Source organism: Homo sapiens, chromosome 9 (assembly GCF_000001405.40).
Source record: "Homo sapiens chromosome 9, GRCh38.p14 Primary Assembly".
NCBI lineage: Eukaryota > Metazoa > Chordata > Mammalia > Primates > Hominidae > Homo > Homo sapiens.
Genome location: NC_000009.12, coordinates 132,017,917 through 132,044,278, shown reverse-complemented (window position 1 = coordinate 132,044,278; position 26,362 = coordinate 132,017,917). Strand labels below are relative to the sequence as shown.

The 26,362-nt window shown below is 43.7% G+C and overlaps 1 protein-coding gene across 5 annotated transcripts in view, besides 3 other annotated features; it reads left to right on the top strand.

Annotated features, from left to right (window-relative positions):
* Positions 1-26,362, top strand: part of MED27 (mediator complex subunit 27) — a 219,756-nt gene that overhangs the window by 35,589 nt on the left and 157,805 nt on the right. The window lies entirely within an intron of this gene.
* Positions 1,294-2,493: an enhancer, noted in NCBI's record as "CDK7 strongly-dependent group 2 enhancer chr9:134917173-134918372 (GRCh37/hg19 assembly coordinates)". NCBI's record gives its function as "activates an origin of replication core promoter dependent on BRD2, BRD4, P300/CBP, MED14 and CDK7 cofactors, with strong dependence on CDK7, by STARR-seq in HCT116 cells {active_cell/tissue: HCT116}" and the evidence as "EXISTENCE:reporter gene assay evidence [ECO:0000049][PMID:35650434]".
* Positions 2,976-3,475: an enhancer, noted in NCBI's record as "H3K4me1 hESC enhancer chr9:134916191-134916690 (GRCh37/hg19 assembly coordinates)". NCBI's record gives its function as "activates a minimal SCP1, AML or CMV promoter by ChIP-STARR-seq in naive H9 embryonic stem cells {active_cell/tissue: H9 hESC(naive)}" and the evidence as "EXISTENCE:reporter gene assay evidence [ECO:0000049][PMID:30033119]".
* Positions 3,476-3,977: an enhancer, noted in NCBI's record as "H3K4me1 hESC enhancer chr9:134915689-134916190 (GRCh37/hg19 assembly coordinates)". NCBI's record gives its function as "activates a minimal SCP1, AML or CMV promoter by ChIP-STARR-seq in naive H9 embryonic stem cells {active_cell/tissue: H9 hESC(naive)}" and the evidence as "EXISTENCE:reporter gene assay evidence [ECO:0000049][PMID:30033119]".

Genomic DNA, 26,362 nt, shown 5'->3' with positions numbered 1-26,362 from the left:
TTGTTCCTCCTTTAATGAGGAGAAAACAGTCTAGAGAGTTAGGTGGCCCATGTCAGGTCCCTCAGCCACCAGGCAGTGGAGCCAGGCTTGTGTCTGCCCCCAAACTTCAGAGTACTTCTCCCTTCCCTCCTCCCCTCCCTATTTCTTTCCCATCTACCCTTTGTCCCTCTGTGACTTTTTTTCTCTTTTCCTTTGTTATCTCATGAGGGACTTTAAAAAACATCTCAAATTATCAAAGTAACACATTTATTATATAAATTTTGGAGAATATAGCAAAGATCAGCAAGAAGACATCCCTGCCAGTTGACACAGTTGACTACGGTGTATGAGTCTCATTTCCCTTCACGGTTTGTCAGCACTGGGTATGGAGATGAGAAGACAGTCTTTGCCAGTTGCCCTGAAGGAAGGTGGGACCTGCATGTCATCTTTTGCACATTGTAAGTTCATGCCATTGCCCTTTCTGCATTGCTTGGTGTGGCATTTTTTTCTTATTGATATCCACGCTCCTTCCACCTCTACTATACTGTAGAGCTTTGGTTCTTTTGCCCTAAGAACCTTTTTCCTGGATCATAAATTCCATTACCATTAGGAATTCCTTATTAAATCAGTTAATGTGAGTTTTAATTGAAAATTATTTTTTTCAGTTTACTCTTTTCTGAAGCATATATTTTCATTTTATCTCTGTAATAGTGGAATTAGAAGGGTTTTTTCTTTTTTAAATTACAAAAGATTTTATGTATGAAACTATATATATCATATATGTGAAATGCAGATGTATAATAAATGCTCATGTACCTGCTCCCAGCTTATGAAACAGAGCAGGCAGCAGTTCCTGTGCGTGTGTTATGAGCCCCTCCTCATTCTCCCTCTCTCCTTCTAGTTCCTCCAATGTACCCCACCTAACTGAATTTTGAGTTTATTATTTCCTGAAGACAGACATCTTTATTCCTTTTTTTTTTTTTAAGAAAAAAAAAAAATAGAAGCCTTAAAAGGTCAAGTAAGTTGCTCAGGGTCTGGCAGTGAAAATAACTGTGATGCTAGCACCCAAATCTTGGACTTCTAGTATAAGTGTTACTTTTTCTTTCCGTTTTGAAACACTGTAATACCTCCTCATTGTGTTGATAGTATTGTGGTTTTTTTGACCCTCACCCTATATAGATTTAACTTTATTGGTTTTAACTATATAGATTTTTTCTGAAGAGTCATTTAAATTTTGGGGAAGCAGTGCTCTTATTACTGAGAGTTTTACATTTGCCTACTCCAGATGTTACTAGAAAACTTACCTTGTCCCTCAAAAACAAAAGTACCTATGGTCTATGGGATATCTGTGTATTGACCTCTCTAATTTGTTCCCATAGCTAGAGTTGGCAAAGGTAATGTACACATGATTAATTGGTACGTGATCACCTCTTTTATACAATCAATACCATGGTTCCAAATGAATAAACCTATCTTGAAAGATGGCTAGCCTTTCAAAAAGTCAAATGCTGGGGATTTTCCACTGGCTCTAGTTCAGTTTTTGCTAATTTTTATAACTCACATCAACATTCAGGTCACAGATGTGGATTAAAAGTGAAGCCCAGTGAAATAAGATCTAACTTGCAATGGTGGTGTGTGCAGCAGGGTCCACTCATAGATCTAAGATTCCAGCATCAGAAATGCTTAGTGTTCTTCTTGGCATTTCCTTCAGTGCTGACTCACGGTGAATGCAGATTGTGGCCACTAGACTGTGGATAAAGGAGGGGCAGGAATTGTGGGATCTTCAGTCCCAGAGGTCCCTGGGCAGTATGGCATTGTGGTTATGAGTGCAGACGTTGAAGTCTCATACCTCTTGGCACTTCCTTTTTGCCTTGTGACCTGCAGCAAGTGACTTTACCTCGTGAAGCCTGTTTTCTCATCTGTAAAATGGGGGCAACATCAGTATACACACTTTCGAGCATAAAGAGTTTATACAATGTATAAATAGGGTGTCCATGAGACTGTTTCAGTGAAAGCCTTTTCTCCGTGCCTGGCACACAGCATGGGTTAATAACTGTAGCTGCCGGTAGTGATGGCCGTCACCATCATCTTTGTCATCCTTAAGCCAGCCTCTTCATTTGTAGAGGAAGAAACTGAGTCCCAGATCCTGTGGCCACTCAGCAGCCCAGCTGGGACAAGACTGGCAGCGTCTGTGCTTCCCGTGCCGTGCTCTTTCCACCCCGCCACCTGCCTGTCTCCACATATCTCTAGATCACGTACTTTGTCACCTCCCCTGGTTCTCTGCAGTGCCGGCAGATCCTAACAACAGATGGTCCTGTTTTGAATTAAAACAATTTAACTCAAGATCCATCAACTGCCAACATCAAACACCCTTAAAAGAAGGAAAGAAACTCATTATCAAGAGTATTTAAGCAAAGTAGGTATTTAATCTATCTTAATCATTTGCATTCTTGAGAAGAAGAAAGTCAGCGGCAGCTGCCACCGTAGGCCAGGCCCCACGAACGTGTTTGCACGTAATTGCTTCTCCCTTTTCTTCTTTGCCATACCGTACTGATTTGGACTTTGGCCCTTAAGAACAAATTTTTCAGCACACTGACTATTTGACTATTTAAAAATTTAAAAAGTAATCTCTTTCATTTTGTTCCATACATCCTGTGACTGTCCATCTTTCAGTCGAGCTTTGTCACAACACACATGGGCACTGCAGGCCTTCTGACGCCGTGTGAGGCTGTGCTTGCAGTGCCCGACAGGAAGATGGGGAGCGACTGAGCTCTGTGGACGCTGCAGTCGGTAGCATGATGGTTACTGTCTGGCAGAACTGCAGTCCCCTATGTTAAATGTTCATTTGGTGCTACCCCTACATGCCATACCTGGTTCTTCCCAAAGCTTGGTGTCTACAGAATGTTTCCTTGCACCCAAATCACAGAGCTGATGGTGTGAGAGTGGATGTGTGAGCCATGAAAATATGCAGACTCTTTAGTCGTGTGTGCGTGCTCAGTTCAGTCCACTCAAGTCTGGGCTCTCAGCATGACTGTCTACTCTCCCACTTTGGACCCTCACTGCCATCCTCTCTGCTCTGTTAGCGAGCTTGTCGTCTCCCTCACAGCCCACATTAGGTGCTGAGGGACACAGAGGCAGTTGTTGACAACCCTCTTTTTCCCTTTGCTCTTTTTGTTTCTTCTCTCTACCCCTCTTTACTTTATTTCCTCTTTCTTGTTCTTCCCTTCTGCTCTTCTTCTCTGCTGCCCGTGGTGTGGTCTGATGACAGCTGCCAGCAGGGCTGCTGTGTTGCACTGCTTCCAGATAAATTGTACGCCTTGCCTCTGGAGTGGTGAGATGGCAGTGGCTCTGGGTCCTGGCTGCGAGTGCAGCTTAACTCTTTGGAACCAGGCTGTGGCCCCCTCCCCTCCCCTAATCTCAACATGAGGGAAAATGATGGAAGCACCTAGTTGTTTGACAAAGCATATGGGAGGAAATCAAACCGTTGCCTGGGCCTTCCTAGAATATCCTGCCGTGTGTGCTGGTGCTTGAGTGTGCGGTGTGTGTGCACGTGCACAGGGCGTACCGGCAGAAACAGAGATGTGCTGGTGGAGCCGAGCACTTTGTCACCTTGAGTGCTCCTTGCTGGGACCTTCATGTCCTTGACCAGATTGAAGCCTGATGGGCTGGAAGGTCTGGGTGTAGTTAAGCTCTGCCGTCTGCTCCCAGCTAAAAGTAAACATGCTGCCTTAGTATTTGTTTTCCACACCACACTTTTGCCCAATGTATAGATCTAAAGCCCTATTTATAGCTTTCTCGTGACATTTGTACGGGCAGTCTCTCGTCAGGTGATGCCTTCTCTGCATGTGGAGCCGCCTAAGACCAGCCAGCCGCTCTCCACGGCCCCACCTCTCATCCCAACTTAGATTTCTCTGTGTATAAATGGCTGCTCTTAAGCAACCTGCCATGCGGTTTCTTACCTAGTTTGGTTTAAAGTATTCTCCCACAGGGAAATAAAGCAAAAAGGTGATGGCATTTGCTTTTTAATCTTTTAATAATTCATTTCCCCGCCGCAGGGAAGAGACTGAGGCCCCTGGTGGCTGGCAGCAGCTTTGTTTAGTGCTGGGCAGCCCATATGCGGGGACTGATGCTGAGCACGACAAGGTGAAATCTCACAGGTCATCAATTTGTAGCTGACAGCATTTTGAAAAGTGATGTATAAGGAGCTGATATTGGTGTAGTGGTATGAGTGAAATTTATCATATCGTAAAGTGTATGTGAAAGGGGAATATTGTGTATTTTCTCTTTATCAAAATGTCCCACTTTTTTATTGATACTTTTCACCCTTCTATGGTCTTATGAAACAAGACAACAAAACAAAGCTTGGAATCATGAAATTTCAGAATTAGCAGAGAGGCCACAGAAGTACTATCTTTTATAAGGGAGGGACCTGCAGTCACAGAGGCGAGTGGTGTCCTTTGTAGCCAGTGAAACTCCTAGAGGCAGGACCCTGTCTTGAGTGTCTTTTTCTCCCCAGGGCCAGCACTGAACGGAGCACACAGTGGCGGTTAAGGGGTAGGAGGGATTGCCAAGCAGGTGGACTCTGGCTTCCTGGGTCCTCTTCCACTCGTCCTTGGGACACAGGGTGTTCACTCACTCTCCTTTGAAGTAGGGTTCCCCTCCTTGAAGTGTACCTTGGATCCAGTGTGGCCTTTGATGGCAGACAGACTGGCGGTGAATTTAGCTCAGTGGCCACTTGTGAGACCCAACCTTCTTTTCGCTCAGTACCTCGGGATGGAGTCAGTACTGGAGCTGCACTGTTACGACTCATAATGACAATGGCCGGCACTTATTGAGCACTTGCCATGTGCGGGGCACCATGCTAGGTACTTTGCGTGAATTAACACATCTAGTCCCCACAAGAGCCTGGAGGCGTGTGTACTATTATTATTATCGTTCTCACTTGAGAGCTGAGGAAACTGAGGTGCACAGAGCTTCAGTTACACAGCTTCCTCTTCACTAGCCCCTGAGTTCTCCCGCCTCTCAGCAGAGTGCCCGACACATAGCACTCACGTGGTAAGTGACAGGTTTGATGATAAAGTTAAACTGTACGGCAAATCTCTTAATAGTGTTCTTTGTGGTTTCTTTGCTTTCAAGCTTGAGAACTTCTCCATCTAGAAATCGTTAACTCTTTATTCCATTGGGAGTCATTTTGGTTTATGGAATTCCTTGCAATTTTGAAGTCCAGGTTCAAGGCAAAGAGACCAAAATCATAGTGTTTAATTGCATTTGAAGCCATAATGAAACCAGGTTGACCTCCATGTTCTTGTCGTAGCCCTGCCATGGACTGGCTGGCTTCTCCGCTCTGCTGCCTGTTCTCTACCAGCAGGCAGAGTGTCATTTAGCAAGGACAGTTAGGTCCTGTCACTCCGTTCGAAGCCCTGCCACGGCACCCATCTTATCCAGAGGAAAGCTTACAATGGCCGCCCTCACCCACCTCAGCTCCTTCCTTCTTCCCTGTCTCCTGCTGATTCAAAGCCATTCCAGGCACACTCCCATCTCCACCTTAGAGCTTCTGTGCTGACTCTTCTGCCCCCAAATATGCCAAATACCTAGATTCTCATTTTCAGATCACATTGCAGGTGTCATCTTCTCAGTAAGCACCACATTTAACATTGCAGCCCACTCCCATGCCCTGCACATTTGAAAAACCATAACATGTTCTATCTTCTAATATACTGTATATTTTACTTTAAAAAGAGTGCTTACTGGGAAGTAGCCTTTGTTTATTTCAGTGATATTTCTCGAGTGCTTAGAAGGATGCCTGGCGGCCGGGCGCGGTGGCTCACGCCTGTAATCCCAGCACTTTGGGAGGCCGAGGCGGGCGGATCACGAGGTCAGGAGATCGAGACCATCCCGGCTAAAACGGTGAAACCCCGTCTCTACTAAAAATACAAAAAAATTAGCCGGGCGTAGTGGCGGGCGCCTGTAGTCCCAGCTACTTGGGAGGCTGAGGCAGGAGAATGGCGTGAACCCGGGAGGCGGAGCTTGCAGTGAGCCGAGATCCCGCCACTGCACTCCAGCCTGGGCGACAGAGCGAGACTCCGTCTCAAAAAAAAAAAAAAAAAAAAAGAAGGATGCCTGGCACATTTTAGCGATTGGCCCATAAATATTTGCTGAATGAATGAATGAATGAATGAGAGTGTAGCCTTGGTGAAGCTGCTTTCTCTTTGGGGCCTTAAAAAAAAAAAGTAGAATAGCAGCTTGTACTGCTGTAGATGACATACACCCTCCCAATTGTAACTTCTGTTGATTCCTTGCATATTGGTTGCGTCAATGCATCACAAATCCACCCTCACGCACCCTAGGATGTGAGATTCGTGGGGCAGGCAGAATTCAGCTGGTGTTGGGGAGGCAGATGACATATCCTGCATTGCTAGATCTAGAGATCTAGGTGCAGCTCCTGTCTGGGGTCGGGACATGTTGTGTGTCAGCCAAAGCTCATGTGTCAGAAACACAGCACTTTTCCCAGTCTACAGCTGCCCGGTGAAAGCCTGACTGTTTTGCCCACTTTCATTTGGTGATGTTTCCAGAGCCTCTTTGCAATGCCATTGTCATTTCCCATCACCAGCAGGGTAGCTCCGGTTTTCTGTCATTGCCACCGAAGCCAGCCCAAGCCCATTGTTGCTGTGGATTTGTTTGCATATTGCACAGCCATCTGTTCTCTTTACCATCCAAGCTTTAGATTTTGAAATATGAATTACCAACCGCTCCAAGGATTTCAATGGCTTACTGTTTGTTTTGTATGCCAGTAACTAGTCTTTCAACTGTTAGAATCACCGTTTTAAAAGCCTAGATTACTCTTCTGTTGTGTAGGCGCGTTGGGCAGTCACTGTGGCTGAATGAACTAGTACCTAGGTATCTGACTGAACCATGGGCTTGAAAACCACCATATGCGACTATTACTGTCCATGCTTTCATCCTGATAGGGAGCATTAAATCAGAAAGTTGTTTGAGAAAGATACCAGTGTATAGTAACCGTAAATATAGTAAGCTCATGGATTAGGATTACACTTCAAGCGTGTTTATTCGCGTTGTGACTTCAGCTTACTGTTCTCTGTGATAAACGGAGGGGTCTGTGAGCGTGATTGTGTGTGGCGCGCTCCTCAGTCCTAGCAGCAGCATCTGTTGTTACTGCCATCCTTTGCTGAGCGTTCACCTGTGCCCAGCGCAGTGCTTCAACATTTCGTCTTCCACCCACAGCTTCTTTCATTTTCTTTAACATGCCAAGCTCTCCTTGCTCTGCTCTTTGGGCTGTCTGTCTTTCTCTCCGTTGCTGTCACTTTACACGGTCACAAATTTTACAGGCAGTGCCTCTGCTTTTACATGTTGTTCCTTCGGCCTGGACTGTCCTTCTGGCATAGGCTTTCAGCACCTATGACTTTCCTTTGTGGCATTTGACACAAAGGTCATTCATTTTTAGTGTAGGGGGTTACCTATTTAATGTCTGTCAATACTTACAGGCTGTAACCTCTTTGAGGTTCCAAGCTTTATTAGCACCTAACACTGTACCTGGAAATAGACTGAGTCATGTTTCTGTAATAAATGTGTTTTCACAGACAACCCTATGAAACGTATGCATAGTATAACTTCTGTTTTACACGTGAGGAGACTGAGATAAAGAGAGGTTAAATCACTTGCCCAAATCATCCAGGTGGTAAGTGGTAGAGCCATGCTCTTTTCTCAGCTCTTCTTAAGAAGCAGCGCATGCCGGCACGAGTGACATATGAATGACCAAGACAGACAGAAAACAGTTAACGGCCAGACGCAGTGGCTCACACATGTAATCCCAGTACTTTGGGAGGCCAAGGTGGGAGGATGTCTTGAGGCCAGGAGTTTGAGACCAGTCTGTGCAACATAGTAGACCTCTCTACAAGAAAATAGAAACAATTAGCTGGGTGTGGTAATATGTACCTGTGGTCCCAGCTACTCAGGAGGCTGAGGCGGGAGGATAGCTTGAGCCCAGGAGTTAAAGGCTGCAGTGAGCTGTGATCTCACCACTGCACTCCAGCATGGGCAACAGAGAGAGACCCTGACTATAAAAACAAAAAAACAAAACAGTAATACATATAAACCAAAAGACCTGCATTCTGAGTCTATCAAAATGGTTAGGAGAAAGAGATGTTCCTACTTAATAAACGTTAGCCAGGGAATATTTTTGTTTTCTTGCTTTTTCATGTTTCTAAAATGTCTGTTTCTCTGCTTTAAACAACCCAGCACCAGAATGGGATTGAGTCATACAAAGGCCCCATTCTCTGTGGTCTTGGGGTTTTTTTTGTGTTTTTGTGTTTTTTAGAGACAGGGTCTTGCTCTATTGCCCAGGCTGGGGGTGCAGTGGTGTGATCAGAGCTCACTGCAGCCTCCACTTCCTGGGCTCAAGTGATCCTTCCATCTCAGCCTCCCAAGTAGCTGGGACTAAAGGTGTCTGCCATCATGCCCAGCTAATTTTAAAAATTTTTTGGTAGAGATGGGGTCTTGCTATGTTGCCTAGGCTGGTCTTGAACCCTTGGGCTCAAGCAATTCTCCTGCCTTGGCCTCCAAAAGTGCCGGGGTGACAGGCATGAGCCACCATGGCTGACCAGGCCTTGGAGTTTTCACTGTCGAGATGATCATTTGCATTTTTTCCCCTCTGTCAGACGGTTTCCTTGATTGCCTCTAAGATGCATTTGCATCCTTCGGGTTTCAGCTCAAGTGGTCCCTTCGCAGGAAAGCCTTCCTTTACCACACTATTTACTATTGCGGCCCTCTCGTCACCACCCCCCATCTGCTTCCCTGTGCGTTTTTCATGGTCCTCCTTTTTGTCACTGAACATCCTGCATGTTGTACCTATTCCTTTGTTTATTGTCTGTCCTATCTCTCCTCTAGAGTGTACTCTCCACAAGCATGGATGTCTGTCTGTTTTGTTTGTTGCTTATTCCCAGTACTGTCCTTAGAGCAGTGCCAGGCACATTTGACTCAGGATGTATTAATATTCATTATTCATTATTGAATGAATGAAATGCTGTTTGGCTAGACAAGTTAGCTTTGTAATTCAACCTGCAGGTATTGGGCTCATTTGGACCTGGGATCAGCTGTGTGACTTTGGGCAAATGACAGCTTCTCTAAGCCTCCTTCCTGATTGGTGGTGTGGGTTGTAGGAACACCTTCCCCTTTATTGCATTGCAAGGATTTAATGCCTGCCCCACAGTGAACACTTGGAGGCTATTGTTACCGTTTCAAAAGTTACGTAGCCTGGGAGTCTTGATTGGTCTTTTCCGTTTACATACTACTCATTTGAGGGGGGTGTCTGTTTGTGTGCACATACATATGTATGGTCCGGTGAACTGATTATGGTACTCGGTGAATAAACTAGGCCACTTTCACAGATAGTTTTAAGAGTTGAAGTCTCAGCACAAATGCTCCCCACTTTTTACACGTAACAATTTGATGTTTTATAATGAAGACCTACATGTCACATCCCCCTAACCTTGAGTTTCTTTCTGTTTGACCTGTGCTCATAGCCAGTCGAGAAGGTGAAGGCCACAGTCAGTGCATAGTCTGGTGCTCTTCCTGAACCCCCTGGGTGCCAGGGAAGGGGCTGTCCCTGAATTACATGAGATTGCTGAGGAGACAGGAGGGCGTGGCTTTCTGGTACCGTGTCAGAAACCCAAGCTATCGCGCTGAGGTTCCATTCTTGATCACGTGCTCAGTTTTAGCTACCTTTCGACCTAAAAGTGAGATGTACCTTGTGATTCTTCTGCAGACATCTTTCCAGAACATTTCTTAAGTTGCCCTTTGACCTTGGACAGAGCGCTGCAATAGCATCAAAGCGAAGGGCAGGCTTTGTTAGGGTTGTAGTTCTTGGAGACGTGAGGACTGGAGTTTGTCTTATTGTGATAGTAGGTGACTTTAGTGACCCTCAGTCCTTGAGTCTGACATACTTTGATGAATTTATGATCTTTATTTGTCCATGGACACTTTTAAACTCCTCTTTCTTTGCTCCCTTGAATCTAATAAAGGTAATCACTTGTTTTCTGCTTCAGATCTGTTTATATTTATGAGACCTAATGATATGTTATGCCTTTGGGGAAGAGAGGAAAAATTCCTCTTGATTCTTGAGCTGGGGGAGGGGGAGAGCAGTAAGCCACATTCTTTATTCCCATATGTTTAATAAAGATTGCAGCGGTACTCATGACTCCTCATCTATTCATACGGGGCTGTATTGGTGCTGTGTTGCTGCTTCTGAGATTGGCACTGTTATATTATTAATAGTACTGATCACACATGCCTCGCATTTAATACAGAACATAAGAGCCTCACCTGGCATGAATGAAAAATCTCAAATTGAAAGTGTAGATACTATAAAATTTTTAAAGAAGGGAATACATTATGGTTGAACTTTCAAAATACAAATAGTGTATTTTTAATAACCAAGTTATGAATGTCCTTGGATTCTTGTGTTAGGGAGGTGGAGAAAGGAAAGAAAGTGGCTTCCTCTTACCTTTATGCGAAATAGAATCTGGAGACACACAGAACACCAAAGATCTAAGTTACACTGACAAAAGCAAAAACAAAAAGCCCAAATCCACACCGGAGTTTAGGAAGGCAGCATTCCGTTATTAACTCATCCAGTTATGCCAATAATGGCAGAGATCTCAGAACAGTTGGAAGTTTATATACACAAATGTATGTGCTGAAATACCACACTCTGATGACATTCGATGGAGAGGTAACCTTTGATGATGAATTTTCTTGCCCTTTTTAGGGGAGTGAAAGGGGAGGCGGGTGGTACTTCACAAGACTCTAAATTTACCAAAGTTTTTCAAATTTAAATTTTCTTAGAAAAAAATGTCAAATGATTGTAGATCCAAAAATGCCTTTGTTGGCATTTTAATGGTGCTTTTTGAGCCCAGTATGGAGTGTAAGTGAAAAGAAAAGCAGTTTCTTTCTTGGTAATGTGGTATTGAATCCGAAGCCTCGGACCATACAATGTCCCAGGAAGCTTCGTGATTTATATATTGTATGTGATCTTTTCTTAAACATTGTTAACCTGTGCCCTTTACAGACAATACCAGGTCAGAAAATGTCAGGGGAGCTTTGGATTGCCTTCATAATTGTGTAAAGAAAATTATTGTCCTCAAAATCCAGAGACTATGACAGGCGTTCTTAATAGAGTGATATGTTTAGAGACACAAACAGCATGTATGGGGCTGCTTTTAGCTGGCGGGGTAGGAAAAATATTTGAGTGATATTTTACTTTTGGTTCAGACCAATTGTGGATAAGAAAAAATGTTGCTACCTGTCAGGCTGTTGTAGACACCTATTAAATTTGTTGGAAAGGTGAATTCTCAAAGCAGGAAGCCTTTTGAAATGCTTATTCACACTCAGACAATTTATTATAGACCTAGAGAGAGGCTTAGTGTGGAGCGCGGGACTAGGTGATCCCCATGAGAAGAGTGGCTTGGGCGCAGGGCTGTGAGAGGGAGGGGCAGGGGAGGCCAAGAGAGTGGCTAGGTGACAAGAGCCATCACTTAAAGCCAGTGGAAGCAGGAAGTGGGCCCTGGTGATCTGTGGCATTCTGCATTCCTTCCTGACTGGCTCTGCCTCCTGGGACCTGTCAACCCCTCAAGTTAGTTAAGAGCTACATTTGGGAACGAACACATTCTGTTACAATCCTATTTGCTTAGGTGCAAATGAAAATGTGTCTTCTTGTTCCTCTTATCATTTAGGTCATTAAAGAACAAGATTTAAGTGAAAATGAGAAAAGAGACAGTTCTTTGGCAGAGCAGAAACTGTGTAACTATTTTCAACCCCTGTGTTTTGAAACAACAGTGGTTTACTTCAGCTCTTTCAGAAAGAAGAAAAAAAAATCAAATGTGTGGGCTTGACAGGTGGTTTTGCCAAAGTACAGACCAGAGTTGCATTCAGAGTGCCACATCATTTCTTCTCAAAAAGTTCACTTTCTCGGTAAACACCAAATAAGAACCTATAAAAAGGAGCCTAAAAACATGATTTTATTTCATGAGACTTAAAATGCCTTGCCTGTCTAATTTTTCTATGGTTTTTCAGCTTTCAAGGTGGTTGGCATTACGTTCTTTATCTTTATTTGCAGCCAAGGTGGGCTCGGCTCGTGGGCTTGTGGCAGAGCCGTCCCCCGTGCCCAGGCTCCCATGGCATGCAGCTAGCAGCGGCCAAGCTTAGCGCCTCGCCTACCACATCCACCTTCTGATGGCAGTGCCCACCAGTGGAACGAACTCTCTCCACACCTCATTATTTCTACAACCTTGAGTGAATTTGCAAATTAATTGATGTGTGGGAGGGAAGGCATCTGCTATTGTAAAAACCTTTAACTGTGGCAGTAAAACTTGAAATAAAATTAAGTGTTACTATAGTAAACTAATAGTCACCAGGTGATAAAGCACATTTTGTAGTGTGTAGGGGCTTCCATTTTCAGGATCTGTTTAACTTTGAGGCCCTGTTTTTTTTTTCCTGGTATAGTTTTTATTTTCATCCAAGGAACATAAGTACGTAGTTTAAAAGGCAAATAAATAATACTACAAGATTTATACCAGATGTGTTGGTCTTGCCCAACTCTGCTATGCCACTCCTCAGAGGCAACTCCTTTTAAGTCTGTATTTCATTGTTTATTTTTTTTAGAGGAGGGGTCAGGCTGGACTGTAACTCCTGGGCTCAAGTGATCTCCCACTTCAACCTCTCTGAATAGCTGGGACTCAGGTGTGCCCCACCATACCTGGCTTCTCTTAACTCTTTTAGCTCTTTCCTTGGATACTTGCCCACATTTTCCTAAATAACCTGCTTAGACTGCTGTTTTAGAAGTTATCTGTTGCCTCTGCCATGGAAGATGAAGATTTAACTTTTATAGACCACCATCTTCCCACTGCATTGCTTTAATTGATACTTGGTTTTTACATTATTATGACTATGAAATGTTTTTTATAGTGGAGACATGTAGGATACTGTGATTGCTATTTCTGTTGGTGAAGGCTGAGGTAGAGGGTAGCTCACCATTTAGTGTGCAGATTTATCCACCTGTTTTCAGCTGTCCCTAAACCCTGAGCCTCTAGGACAGCCTCTCCAGAGAGGACACCACCTGGCTTCTGATGGAGCAGGGATCTGGGTGTTCAAGAAAGATTTAACCAGTCCATCTGTTTTATGCCTACTTGACACCTGGCCTTCCAGGCCACCGAGTGTCCCCACTTCCTCAGTCTTTGGAAATTCTGCAGTGCAGTTCAGCTTGCTTTTTAAAAATCGACTTCTCCCACCCTCCCAACCTTCCCTTCTGTTCAGGGTAGGTGTTTAGTATACTTCACTCTGCAAAGGTAGTGCTGTTCCACTTACTTCCTGTCTTCTGAAATGTAGTTGACCTCTCTTTCTGTTGCTGTCTCCTCTTCTCTTTGTCCTTGTAGGCTCATACTGTGAGTTTATTCATTTGCTGTCATTTTAGTGGTTTGGGGAGAGAATGCAGGTGAACATGACTTCATTCTGCCGTGTTCAACAGGAAGGCCTCTGGCTCCTGTTTTTGATACATTTTGCTTTCTTTTACACATAGGTCTATAGCATCTTTGTATTTCAAAAAGCACATTTTGATTTAATGGGTCTATATTTTTCATGAAGGGTCTTCTTTTCATCACATGATTCTAAGAAATGTGTGCAGACATGCACATTGCTGCTTTGAAATAGAGTAATAACGTCTCTGGGTCTCTAGTATGCTTTCTAAGAAGATCCGTCGGATGCTAGTATTTCATTATGTCGCGGGAGGGAGAAATGATAAAACACGAAGCTCCTGAAAAGAAAGGACTGGCCTTTCTTCCCCTCTTTTAGGTGCACGCTGGTTTTAAAAACCTCTTTCTCAGCAGTGCTCTTACTATTTTGGCTCTCAGCAGTTAGCTTTTCTGGAGCGGAATAGCTGAGGGCAAGAGTACCTGGTGTGTGATGGCAGTGTTAGAAGCTGAATTTTTCAAAGAAGCAGAGACTCCACTAGACTTAGAGCCACTCCCTTGGGTCAGGGCCTTGGAGAGCCAGGCAGCGCTGTCACGAGGGGCACCGCTGTCTTTGAGACAACGTGGCTCTGGCACCAGTGCACACTCCCCTGAAGAGGGGGCAGAGGCCCGAATCCCCTAACACTGGTCAGGCTTGTGCCACCTCCAACAGATGGACCAGTAACACCTTTTCACATCCCTCCCTGTCTTTGAAAACCAGGACATAAGTCACCAGTTTGTTGTCTTCTGCCTTTGGGAAATCCTCACATTTTCTGTGTGGGAAGCACAGCCAGCCCATGTCACTCCACCCTTTTCTACCTCCTGCCACTCTAGTAGCAGTTCACATACCATAGCCTGTATACCTTGATTTGCAATTTTTGGGCCATGCTCTGCTCCCCTCCCCCGCCCCCACACACACCGACACTTTTTTTTGCAAGGGTAATACAAAATGCAGCTCACAGGCCTATTTCAGACTTTATTAAAACATCATTTCCCCTGCCTTGTTCCCAGATTTCTGTGCTTAATCATAGAAAGCCAGCTTGTTCAAATATACATTATTCTTGCTTGGAAAACTCTTGGCTTGTCTTCCTCCCCACCTCCTTCCCTATTTTGTAACCTTGCTTCACCGAGGCCCTTCTTATTAAATATCATAATTTGCTCATTGGAGAGTTATTTGTAAACTTAATTAACTCTCTGTCAGTGTTTGAGTTAATTTTCTCCCTTTCGTTTTAGCCTCCCTGGCCATGGTTTTTCATACTCTGTCCTGTGTCTGTTAAAGACTTTGTAAATAGTTTTGAAATGCCAGTTGGTGATATATGGGCCTCTTTAACATTTCTTTGATTTATGTGCAGTGCTGTGGAAAAAGGCAAAGAAAGCAAATTATATGGCAAAAAAATGTTGCCAATCTTTACTTTTTTACTCTTAGTTTTAAAAAGTATACTTATCAATCAAATCTGATGGATTTTCTTTTTTATAAAGATTGAAAATTTAACTATTTGAAGACTTGTGCAATGCATGTTCTGTATTTGCTTAATCAAGTAACTTGGTACTAGAGTAGGGTTTCAGAATTCTAAAAGCTTTCAATCTCTACTATTTGTTCCTATCCTGCTCCCTCCCTGACTCTTCAACAATACATGCATGAAATGGCCAGATTTTTGATAGGAGTTGGAAAGAAGGAATCCTCTCAATACTGGAAGTACAGTGCTGAATCTTTCTGGTGAACCAACAAGAGCTGTGTCCTTCTCTTAGTTGACCGTGACTTGTCTGAGGCTTCTCTCCGTGGCATCTCTGATGGCTTCCAGGTCTCAAGAGACTGGCCTCCTGAAGCTACCGGTGAATCTGCAAATGTTAATTTTGAGAGTGTACTATGATTGTGCTCAGATTTTAGCGCGTCTTGGAGCTGCCTGGGGGTGCTTGTTACAGTGTGAATTCCTGGGTTCCTCAGTAGAAGTTCTGATCCCACAGATTGGAGGTGGGCCCCTGGAATCTGCACTTTTGGCAAGCACTCTGTAGATGATTCTGTTGCAGATGATCTCTGGCTGTGTTTTGAAAATGATTTGAAGGCTATAATGTCCTTGATTATACCACTCCCCTGTTCGGTATCTCCAATGACACCTCTCCCCCAATTGTCTACTACATGAAGTCCAAAGAAGGTATAAAAATTCCATATTACTTGGGAGCATTGGGACTTGTCATTTGTGTAGGCAGGGTATATAGGTCTGGCTGTGCAGTTATGCAATGCCTACAGACCTCTTTGGATTTTTTTTTTTTTTAATTTATTTGTTCATTCAGCCATGGCTATGTGCCAAGCACTGTCCTAGGTGCTGCAGCTACAGTCATGACTAAGAAGCCTCTGTCCTAATGGAGCTTATATTCTAAGGTATTCTAAGGTATGGGAGACAGGGAGAAGGTGAGTGGGAGAAGTTGAAACTAAAGAAACAAACCCTCTGTATGTAATACCTAGCCAGCTTTACTACTGTGATTCAGATAAAACTGCTGTGATAGAAAGCACCCCCAGCTCCTTTAGGCGGCCAGAAAAGGCTCTCTTAGAAGGTGAAGTTCAAGTTGAGACTTGCACAACAAGAAGTCAGGTATGCAAAGATCAGGGTGAAGAGCGTTCCAGGTAGAGGGGACAGCTAGTGCAAGAGGCCTCAAAACAGGAACAGAAAGGAAGCCAACCAGAGTGGTAGAATGCTGGTGAGGCAGGTGGAAGGAGGAGCTGGGGCCGGAGCACGTAGGTTGTCCGGCTGTGTGTGTGCCCTGTGACTCTACTATGGCTGTGGTTGCTCAGATCAGAGATGGGCACCTAGGCCGGTGACTGCCAGCAGTTGATGAGGTCCCAGCCAGCATGGGTGCTGTGCCCAGTACACTCACCCTCCACGGCCTGGCACAGGTTCACAGCTCCTTATCAAAGCTTTGGGCATCTGAATGTGTTTTGGATTTTACAACATTTTATATTATAGAAAAGTAGCATGGCTCATATACCATTAATTTCTCCAGCAGGGTCTGGAGCAGTACCCTGTAATCAAATTTTGTGCAGCAAAATGTATGACTATTCACACTAAGTGAGATAAATTAAGGTTTAAATAGACTCACATCAGTTCACGTCAGGTTTTGCTGCCACATGAGTTTTGGCGCCTACATCGATGAGAAGGCTTTAGATGTTCAGAACTTTTTATACATTTTATACTGTGCTAGGGAATTATGGCTGTGTACTGGCAGATTCTTGGCCCTTCCTCTGTTCTGGGTGTGAAGCATCAGAAGGCAGTGAGTGGGTGAAAAGGTGTGTGCACACGAGTGTGCCTGCTCAGGCTGCAGCAGGCAGAGTCCCAGAGAGAGCAGAGGCGAGTCAGGAGGAGTTGATTGTGGTGGAGTTGGAAGAAGCAGCCCAGAAGAATCCGAATCCCAGAAGCTGAGTAGGGCAAATGGCCGGAAGCTGCTGGAGCAGTTGGGCTGCGGTGGGCTGCATTCTGGTCTCTAAGAGGCCTGGTTGTGGACACGGCTCCTGCGTTCTCTTCTTTCTCACAGAGTGGACCCTTACTACCTGGGTAACCAGAGCACAACTGTGCTTGTTGTAACCTGCAGTCCTAACTGGATAATAAGAGCAGTCGTTAGATCCCCACCATCCTCACTCCGTTGATTCAGAATTCAAATTCCTACCATACTTTGAGGTTTACTTACATCCCCTCAGGCTATCTCCTGCCAGCTAATGTATTCATTTACTCATTTATTTAAAAAATACTTATTGAGAGCCTGCTAAGTCCTGGAGAGGCAGTTGAGTGTAGTGGTTACAGAGCAGGGGCCCCAGAGCCAGGCTCCCCGGATACCAGTCCTGACCCTGCCGCTTAACGTCTGTGCCTCAATTTTCTCATCTGTGAAACAGAGATGATAATAATAGTACCTACCTCACAGGGTGGTTGTACAGATTAATTAAATGAATTAGAATAGCACCTGGTTCATAGTGAGTCCTGTATACACATTAGCTAATGTTATTATTTTTTTTTTTATTGATAGGCCAAGCACTGTTCTGGACACTGGGGATGTAGCTGTGAGGACTAGGGGAGATATCTACTCCTACGGGGCTTACATTCTAGGCAGATCTTGACCTTCTAAAAGCAGAGGGTTTCTTTGTATGTCCATTCATGTCCAGCACTGTGCTTTGCATCCATCAGGCCATCCCATTCTCAGCACATTTTTATTGAATGCTCACGTAGACCCTTCTGCTAGGCCAGTAAGGCTTCTAAAATGGAGTACAAGACAGTTCCGGCACTCTTGTGGAATACACTTTGGGAAAAGAGTAAAGGTAGATACACAAAAACCCCCACACTGTCATGTACAGTGGTCAGCCTTGGGAAAGGTGTTTCAGAAAGGCTTCTGGTCTGGCTTGAGCAACTTCAGTTCTTCACTGCTCCCTGCTTGCCAGGTACTTAAAGGGAAAGGCAGCCTACTTATTGGGTATTGAGGACCAAAAGGACACATGAGGTGTTGCACAAGTTGCCTATTCTTATTTTCTCACTCCTGGTCCCAAAGCAGGCTACTTTCCATATCTGGGCTCTTCCTCTGGATGGACGTGGTTGGTGATGGATGCGTGAATATTCCTTCTTGGACATTCCCAGCTGGCTGCTGCTGCTCCTCATTTTGGTTGCTCGGCTTGTTCTTCACAGCAGATTTGGGAAAGTTTGAGTAAGGCTGCTGAGCATCATTGGAGTTGGAGTAGGGAACATGCACATTGGAGTAGCCCTTCTCGTATTAGGCTCAACTCTCTTATGACTCAGCCATTCCTGTGCATTCCCCTTCCCCAAATCCACAGGAACAGACTTGTTTTTGACTTGTCTATCTTTTCTAAGGTTTTTTTCATCAGATACAAGTTCTTCCAGTTATTGACACAGTCACTCCTAAGACTTAGCTTAAGTGTTAATGGCTCAACAATCTCAGCCGATTAACACTAATCATAATAATATTTATTGAATGTGTGCTTTGTGCCAGCCACTTTGCTGAGCCCTTTTCATGTTCTTAACCCTCACTAACTCCAATAACCAGAGTATGATTTTGTTCAGTGAAACCTGAGATTGTTTCTAGAGTAATCAGATAGTATTGAGTAGCAGTGTTATCCCCAATAGTAGAAGAGAGCCAAGGCTTCAGAAAATTGAAGAACTCTCCCAAGGTCATAGAGTTGGTTAAGGAGAGGGCCTCTGTTGTATATCCAGATGGTTGACTATGAACCCACATTCTTAATTAGATTAAGAGTAGTAGAACTCTTTCTCTGCCTAGCTCTTGTTGATCAGTAGAAAATTCACTCAGGGCTGGGCGCGGTGGCTCACGCCTGTAATCCCAACACTTTGGGAGGTCGAGGCGGGCAGATCACCTGAGGTTGGGAGTTCGAGACCAGCCTTACCAACATGGAGGAACCCTGTCTCTACTAAAAATACAAAATTAGCTGGGTGTGGTGGCGCATGCCTGTAATCCCAGCAACTCGCGAGGCTGAGCCAGGAGAATCACTTGAGAACCCAGGAGGCAGAGATTGCGGTGAGAGGAGATCACACCATTGCACTCCAGCCTGGGCAACAAGAGCAAAACTCTGTCTCAAAAAAAAAAAAAAATTCACTCTAATCTGTTGTTTCTTTTAAACCAAAAACATGCCCATTGTTAATATGTATGACTTTAGCTTTTTTTTTTTCCTTCCAAGGGGAAAAGCCGTAGTCCTGTATTTATGTGGGAAAATCCTGACACACAGGCTTCCACCTGCATTACCTTTTCTCATACTTCCTGTGTGTAGATAATCACAATCAGAATTTAAACAGACCGACAGAAATAGAGTGCTGTGGGAGTCTGGAGAGAGACTTTGATCTTCTAGTACCGAATGCTTTGCTAGATGCCTAAGAAGCACTCCTTAACCTGATTATTTCACGTGTCAAGCTTGAGCCAACTTTCTGGGCATTTAGGTTGTGTGTAGATTAAAAAGAACAATCTCTACAGTATATTAGAAGGAGCTGTCCAACTAATCCTCGGGATTGCCTTTCATTTAGAGCACTTACCTTGTTTCTGCAGGCCTTAGACGATTGTCCTTAGGATTTGATGATGCCAAGAGGTATCGTCTTGTAATAGATTGTCTTCCACAGTTGTATGAGAAGAATTCTGAGTTAGATTTCCTTCTCAATATAGCTACTCATTTAGAACGACCTAGTGGGTACATTTTTCCTATTTTCTCATTACATTTATCAATTTGTTATCTGACATGCTTAGGGTGACAGGATTTGATTTAAAAGGTGATCATTCTCATCAATTTTGTGAAAATTCAGTCATTCCTGGTGTTATTGGAGGAAGCGAATTTCTAGGTATGGCACTTGGGAAAATCACAAGAACAGCTCTTTTTGCCTGTTTGCAGTGTGCTGGACACTGTGCTTAAGGCTTTTGCACACATTATACCGCCAAATTCCAACAACAACCATTCTTCATCTGTAAAAGGAGGCCAACAATACTGCCCCCCATGGATTTGTTGTGAGATAGGGAAAAGGCACTTTTAAAGCCTGCCTTAGGGAGTGTGCCCAATAAACGCAAAGACAACTCTCTCCTTACAAGATTGAACGTTGCCTTTCTTATTGAGCTGATAAAGAAAGTGGCTCAGAAGGGAGGAAAAACACCCAGAATCACTCATGTTGAGCTGGGGTTTGAACTCAGGGCCATCTCACTGCAAGGCTCCATCTTCTGTGCATTGGGCCACACTGCCTCCAGAGTGTCAGCCTTTGCTGCTTCATGGCCAAGTACAAAGGAAAGCAGGTGCCTCCTTGGACCCGTTGCCTCCTCGTAGTCCTGAGCCACCACGCCTTGTTCTTCCTGTTCCCAAAAGGACAATGCAGTTGTTAAAATGATCAATAAAAAAAAATTCCTTCTTAAGAGCTCTCTCCTATTTCCTGATTTCTGTTCTTGCATGCCTCCTAACTAAGCAGCTGTCTCACTTCCACTCCTATACTTTTTTGTTTTTCTGACATCATCATCATATATCTTTTTCCAGTCAGTGATTATATGGCTCCCTGTTTTCCTGTCTCCTTCCGTGTGAGTTTCTCTTCACTGTCTTTCCTTCTTCCTTGCCTCTTCTGACTGTATATCCCCAGTAAGCAGGGAGTAAGGGGATGGCTGATCAAATCCCTGATTTGTAGCCAGGTGTCTCCCAGCAGACTGTTGGTTTATGGAGGGAAGCCAAGGAGGCTAATGGGGCTGCATCTGACCATAATGAAAATGGTGCTTAAAGCAGAAACAGGCATTTCATGACACTGGAATAAAGAAGAGCTAAATAAACTCTCCAGCTAAATCTAAATGGACTAGGAGGCGCATAGAAACTCATTTTTCTCTTCTGAGAAGCCATCCCTTTTTCACACTACCCATAAAAGAAGAAGTTTATAAAATATCAGATTGGCAATTTTCAAAAAATCATGTTTATTAGTTTATTGACTGGATACCTTGGCAATGAGTGACTGATGCTTAGAATTCAGTGTTTAGAACTGAGACATAGAAATGTCCAGTGATGGTTCTCATTGTACTCATGGCTTAGTTGAAAACCATCTGTTTTCTTTTGGGGGGGAAAAAGAGAAATATTCAGGGTCATATTTCTTATATGGGAATATTTAGTTCTTCCCCCATGCCTCACCTATGAATGTTTGGAAAGAAAAACCAATAAAGTATTGTATGTCAGTAAATGCTCAAGTGCCTATTAGGGCTCTAGCATTGCATTTGATTTCAACTTTTACTAGGCCTAAGACATCTCAAGGAGCCCTTTCCCAACTGATATGGTTTGGCTGTGTGTCCCCACCCAAATCTCATCTCTAATTGTAATCCCCAGGTGTTGAGGGAGGAATCTCATGGGAGGCAATTGGATCATGGGGCGGATCCCCCATGCTATTCTCATGATAGTGAGTGCTCATGAGATCTGACGGTTTTACGTTTGGCAAGTTCCTCCTTTGCTTGCTTCTTTCTCCTGCCGCCATGTGAAGAAGGTCCTTGCTTCCCTTATGCCTTCTGCCATGATTATAAGTTTCCTGAGGCCTCTCCAGTCATGTGGAACTGCGAGTCAATTAAACCTCTTTCCTTTGTAAATTACCAGTCTCTGGAAGTATCTTTACAGCAGTGCGAAAATGGACTAATACACCAACCCCTCACTAGCTGCCTTAATTGGAGACTTTTGGTGACTAGTAAAATGTTTGCATTCCATATTTAAATTTCACTGATGTTGATTTTTGTACTAGGAAGTCAAGCGCAGACTGCTCAAAGTAATATTTATAATACAGGATTTCAGTGTTAGGACCTCAGACATAATTCTAGCCTTCCTTTGTAGACTTTTGATTCAGGCCTTAAGTACGTGTTTAAAAACTAATGTCCTACATTTCTGGTAGAAATATAAAGATAATCCTGAGATGTGTCATTCTTCCCTGTTACTTCTGTCTTTGGTTAATAACTGAAAGATCAGATGCACAATCTGTTTTTCTTGAGTCCAGAAGTATAATATGCAAATGGATAAGGATTCTGGGGTGGTTCAACCTTAGCTGGTGACAAGAACATGATGGTGCATCTGACGTGGCCTTCTTCCCCCAGTAGAAACATAGGCAAACAAGATAGCCCACCATGTTGTCCCTCTTCAGAGGGCATATTCTCATTCATTGTCACCGCCTGTCAATAATCTGTCATGATGCTCTCATTACTGTGTTGTCAAATTTTGCATTGATCCTATTTATATTTTTGGCCTGCATCTTCTTAAGTGGCCATGTGTCTTAGTTTAGGCCACTGTAATAAAATGCCATAGACTGGGGTAAACAACAAACATTTATTTTTCACAGTTCAGAAGGCTGGAAAGTCCAAGGTCAAGTTGCTGGCAGATTTGGTGTCTGGTGAGGGCTCTTTTCCTGGTTTGCAGATGGTCACCTTCTTGCTATATCCTCACATGGTGGAGAGAGAGAAATCTGATCTCTTCCTCTTCCTCTTCCTATAAGGGCATTAATCCCATCATGGGGCCTTCACCCTCATGACCTTATCTAAACCTGATTATCTCCCAAAGTCCCCAGCTTCAAATACCATCACATTGGGAATTAGGCCAATGTGTATTGAAACAGAAGAATTTTGGGGAGACAAAAACGTTCAACCCCTGACACCAGGTGACTCTCCAACATGATCTTTCTTTATGACCCTGTCCATTGCTCTCTCAGACCATGCAAGGCAGATGGGGTGAGCACCTGGTGTGAAGTGAGAGGGGGCTCCTGGGAGACAGGAAAACACCAATTTTTATATACCCTCGTCTGTCTTTTCTTAGCTGCTCATCTTCCCTTTTTTTCCCTTTCTTCTGTTGTCTTTCTCTTTCCCTTTACAAATAATAATCCCTATGATGGTTGTTTCTTCCATTGTTAGCCACATTTTAGTTTGCTTTGTTAGTGAATTCATTCAGATATGTGAGTCATTCTCCTTCTATTGGACTGGCACCTTTGAAGGATGATAACATGCATACAGCTGTAGTGTAAACAGGAGCAGTTGTGGAGAAAGTCCTATTAATAAAGGTGCAAATTCTGGGGAGTTGCAGTAGAACAATCTAAACAACCCTAACCATTACAGATATTTAAGAAAGAAAAGGGCTGCTATCCATCGTCTCTGTTTACTTCTTGGATAGCTTTTGAAGTTTGGACATTTGAGCACTAATATGTAGGGAAGAAAGAAACTCAAATGGCATTTAGCATATAAATAATGCCACAGTGGAGCAGGAAGCGCAGCCCTGATTTGCTGTCCTGCTTTCCTAGTAATTGAAGGAGCTGTGAAACCGAGCTTCCAGGAGAGAACAAATAGGCAAGTAAATTGGAGGCTTCCTTCTTATGGTTTATTGATGCTGTTTTGACCAAGTAAAAAGATTATTTACCCATAAAAGCTCAAGTCTAAGGTGTTTTTTTCTAAACTATTGGCTATTTGAAAGAAGCATTAGGAGATAAAAGGAGGAAAGAAGCTAATATCATCATCTGATATTTAGATTAAAACCCAAGCAAAACAATTAGATTTATGGTATTTTTCTGTAGCTGTTTTCCTTGGCACAGATAATACCAGACAAGCTTGCCTGTTTTTTGCTTGGAGTTATGTTCAAAAGAAGAACCAGAACTCTATTGTAATACATGATTCTTTCTCATTAGCTGGAAACAAAACATATTTCAGTAATGAGGGGCAAAGGTCCTTGCAACTCACAGTGGTGACAAAGTTTCCTGATGTTGCAGAAATCTTAGTTCTAGTTGAAAGCTTAATGGTCTGGGGAAACATGACTATGTGAGACTCTCAGATTAGCACCCTACCTTGCAGTGTCGCAACACACATCCCAGCTGTATGGGGTGTGACTTGATTCAGGTGTACACAGTGTGGATTGTTCCAGGTGTCATGGGTCCTTAGGTTGTGGCTGTGGGCTTTGGTGTGTTCTGTTATACATTGGAAGGATTTTCAGTGCACTTACGCCAGCCACCTCTGGCTGTTTTGGTCAGTGATCTACAGGGGAAGTGGCACTGGTGTCCTTGCTTGCTATCATTATATATAACATACATTTGCAAAGAGAATTCTTCAGTAGAAACAGAGTATACATGTGGAATCTCCTAGAAACCCGTTAGACAGAAGCACAACTGCTCTGTGACACAGCCATATCAAAACTGCTAGGAAGGTTCAACATGCCACTGTGCATCTGGAATTTAGATTTTCTGATGAAACTATGGTTTCTTGATTTCTTTTCTCTAAAGTATTTAACTGTGAATATTAAAACTTGAAGACAACAGAGTTTAAAACTTCTTCAAACTCACCACCTAACACATGACTGGAGTCAGTGGGAGGGAAAAGCATGCAACGTCTCAGCGCCTGCAGGAGGGCAGAGTGAAGAGTTCTATCATGACAAGCAGGAGCCAGGAGAGGCTGGTGATGGGAACGTGGCTGCCTGCTTGGCATGGGCCAGCTCTCATCCAGGGGGGATCGCTGTGTTCTGTTGCCGAAGGGAAGATAAACATCAGTACCTCCAGTTAGAAAGATGCAGCATACCTATCCCCGCGGGACAGAGCTATTAAGGCAAACCCTGTATGGCCCACCGTCCTCCTGCGAATGGTGTGACCTGAGGTCAGTGACCTCTTTAAGGCTGGCATCTCCTCTCATGTGAAATGGGGTTGTGGGTAGGGGGGAAGATTGGCATCTACTTTGGCCTTTCTCTATTGTTAAATTCTGTGATTTGAAGTCATCTAGGGGCAGTCCCTATGGACCCCTTTTCTTTTGAGCTTGGTCCAAGCTCAAGCCTGTGAACATACCCACTTTCTGGGCAACTGGAATAAGAGGAAAAAAGGTTTCTTCTGTGGTTCTATCTTGACAGTGAGCACCTAGAAAGCAGTGTGTTTGCTTTCGTAAGAGGCCAGCCATAAGAGGACTGTCAGATGGAGGCAGTCTGTTCTAGATTGGTTGCAGTGCCAAGCCAAGCCAGCATTCCCATGAATCTGCCAGTCTACTTGTTAGCTGACAAATTCATTAGCATCACCTGTATTCAATGCACTATCCTGGACATTGTACAGAATAGAGTCATCAATAACAAGGTCTGTGCCCTAGAGATAAGACTCCCTGGGTGGCAGCTTCACTCCCAGACCCAGGAATAACACAAGGCTGTCTTTTCTGGGCGTTTTTCCCAGTACAGACCGGAGCTTTGTGCTTGGAGAAGGAAATTGGCCTAGAGTGACTGGCAGAGGAGATGGTGGGGCTCCCTACCCCCTTGATCTCTTCTGCCCTCCTGTGGGTCCTCTGGTCTAAGCCAGACAGAATTTATTATAACTTAATTCTATGCCATTCTTTGCCTTTATATGTAATTATATGCAAAGTGATTTAAAAAAAAAATAAAGTGAATCATAACTTACGTCCAGGAGAGCTCTTTTTTCCCCTTTACCCTTAAAGAAGCCTTTGGTGAATCTTGAGAAAGGAATAGTGATTTTCATAGTGAGAAGAATCAAATCTTGATTGATCTGGCTTATAAGTTTTGAGGTTTTCAAATGTCAGGTTCTCTTAAAGTGGGATTCGGGCCAGATGGCAAGGGTAGAGCAGTGCTGCATATGATGGGATGCTGTAGCAGGGACCCCAGGGAGGCTCCAGCATACACTTCAGCTTTTAAGTACTAGGCCTAATTGAATGCCACTGGCTTCATTAGTATATTGAACATGATCGGTGTGATGAATTTCCTTCTGTTCTCTTTTCAAACTTTGGTCCAGTGCAAAACATTAACCTATGAATATTTTGGGGCGGGTAGAAGCATTCAGAACAATGCAGAAGACATCATGCAAGTGGAGAATGAACGGGAGAGGGGTGATTGCTCATCTGATTTCTTGAACTCAAGATTTAAGTCAGAAACTTTGCATTTGAATCCTGTTTTTATCATTTCCTTTTATATCATTTGCTTCCAGTATTTGTTGTTATTTGTAATTTGAAGCGTATTAAAGCTAATTGAATTTGGACTCCCAGTAGTTTGGACTCTTTAAAAGAGGATTCTGTAAAGACCTTGGCTATCCAACAGAAAAAGATTTGTTAAGTCTCTTGTATTAATGTTGTAGGGACATTCCTTCACATCAAATACCTTTCTACCTTTAGAAATACAAAGGAATTGAATTTTAGAGTTTGGGGGTCCTCAGAGAAAATGTCATGCATATTTTCTAGAGAGGGACAGGAGATGTGTAAGGTCACCCAGTTTGGTAGCAGCAAAGCCCAGGAGCACATTTCCAAAGAGGCTGCTGGTTACAGAGGCGCTTCCTCTCCCACTTACATTTCGTCAGGACCCTGCCTGACAACTTGGAGCCTCTTACGTGTTCAATAAGACTAAAACAGCATTATTTTAAAAACGA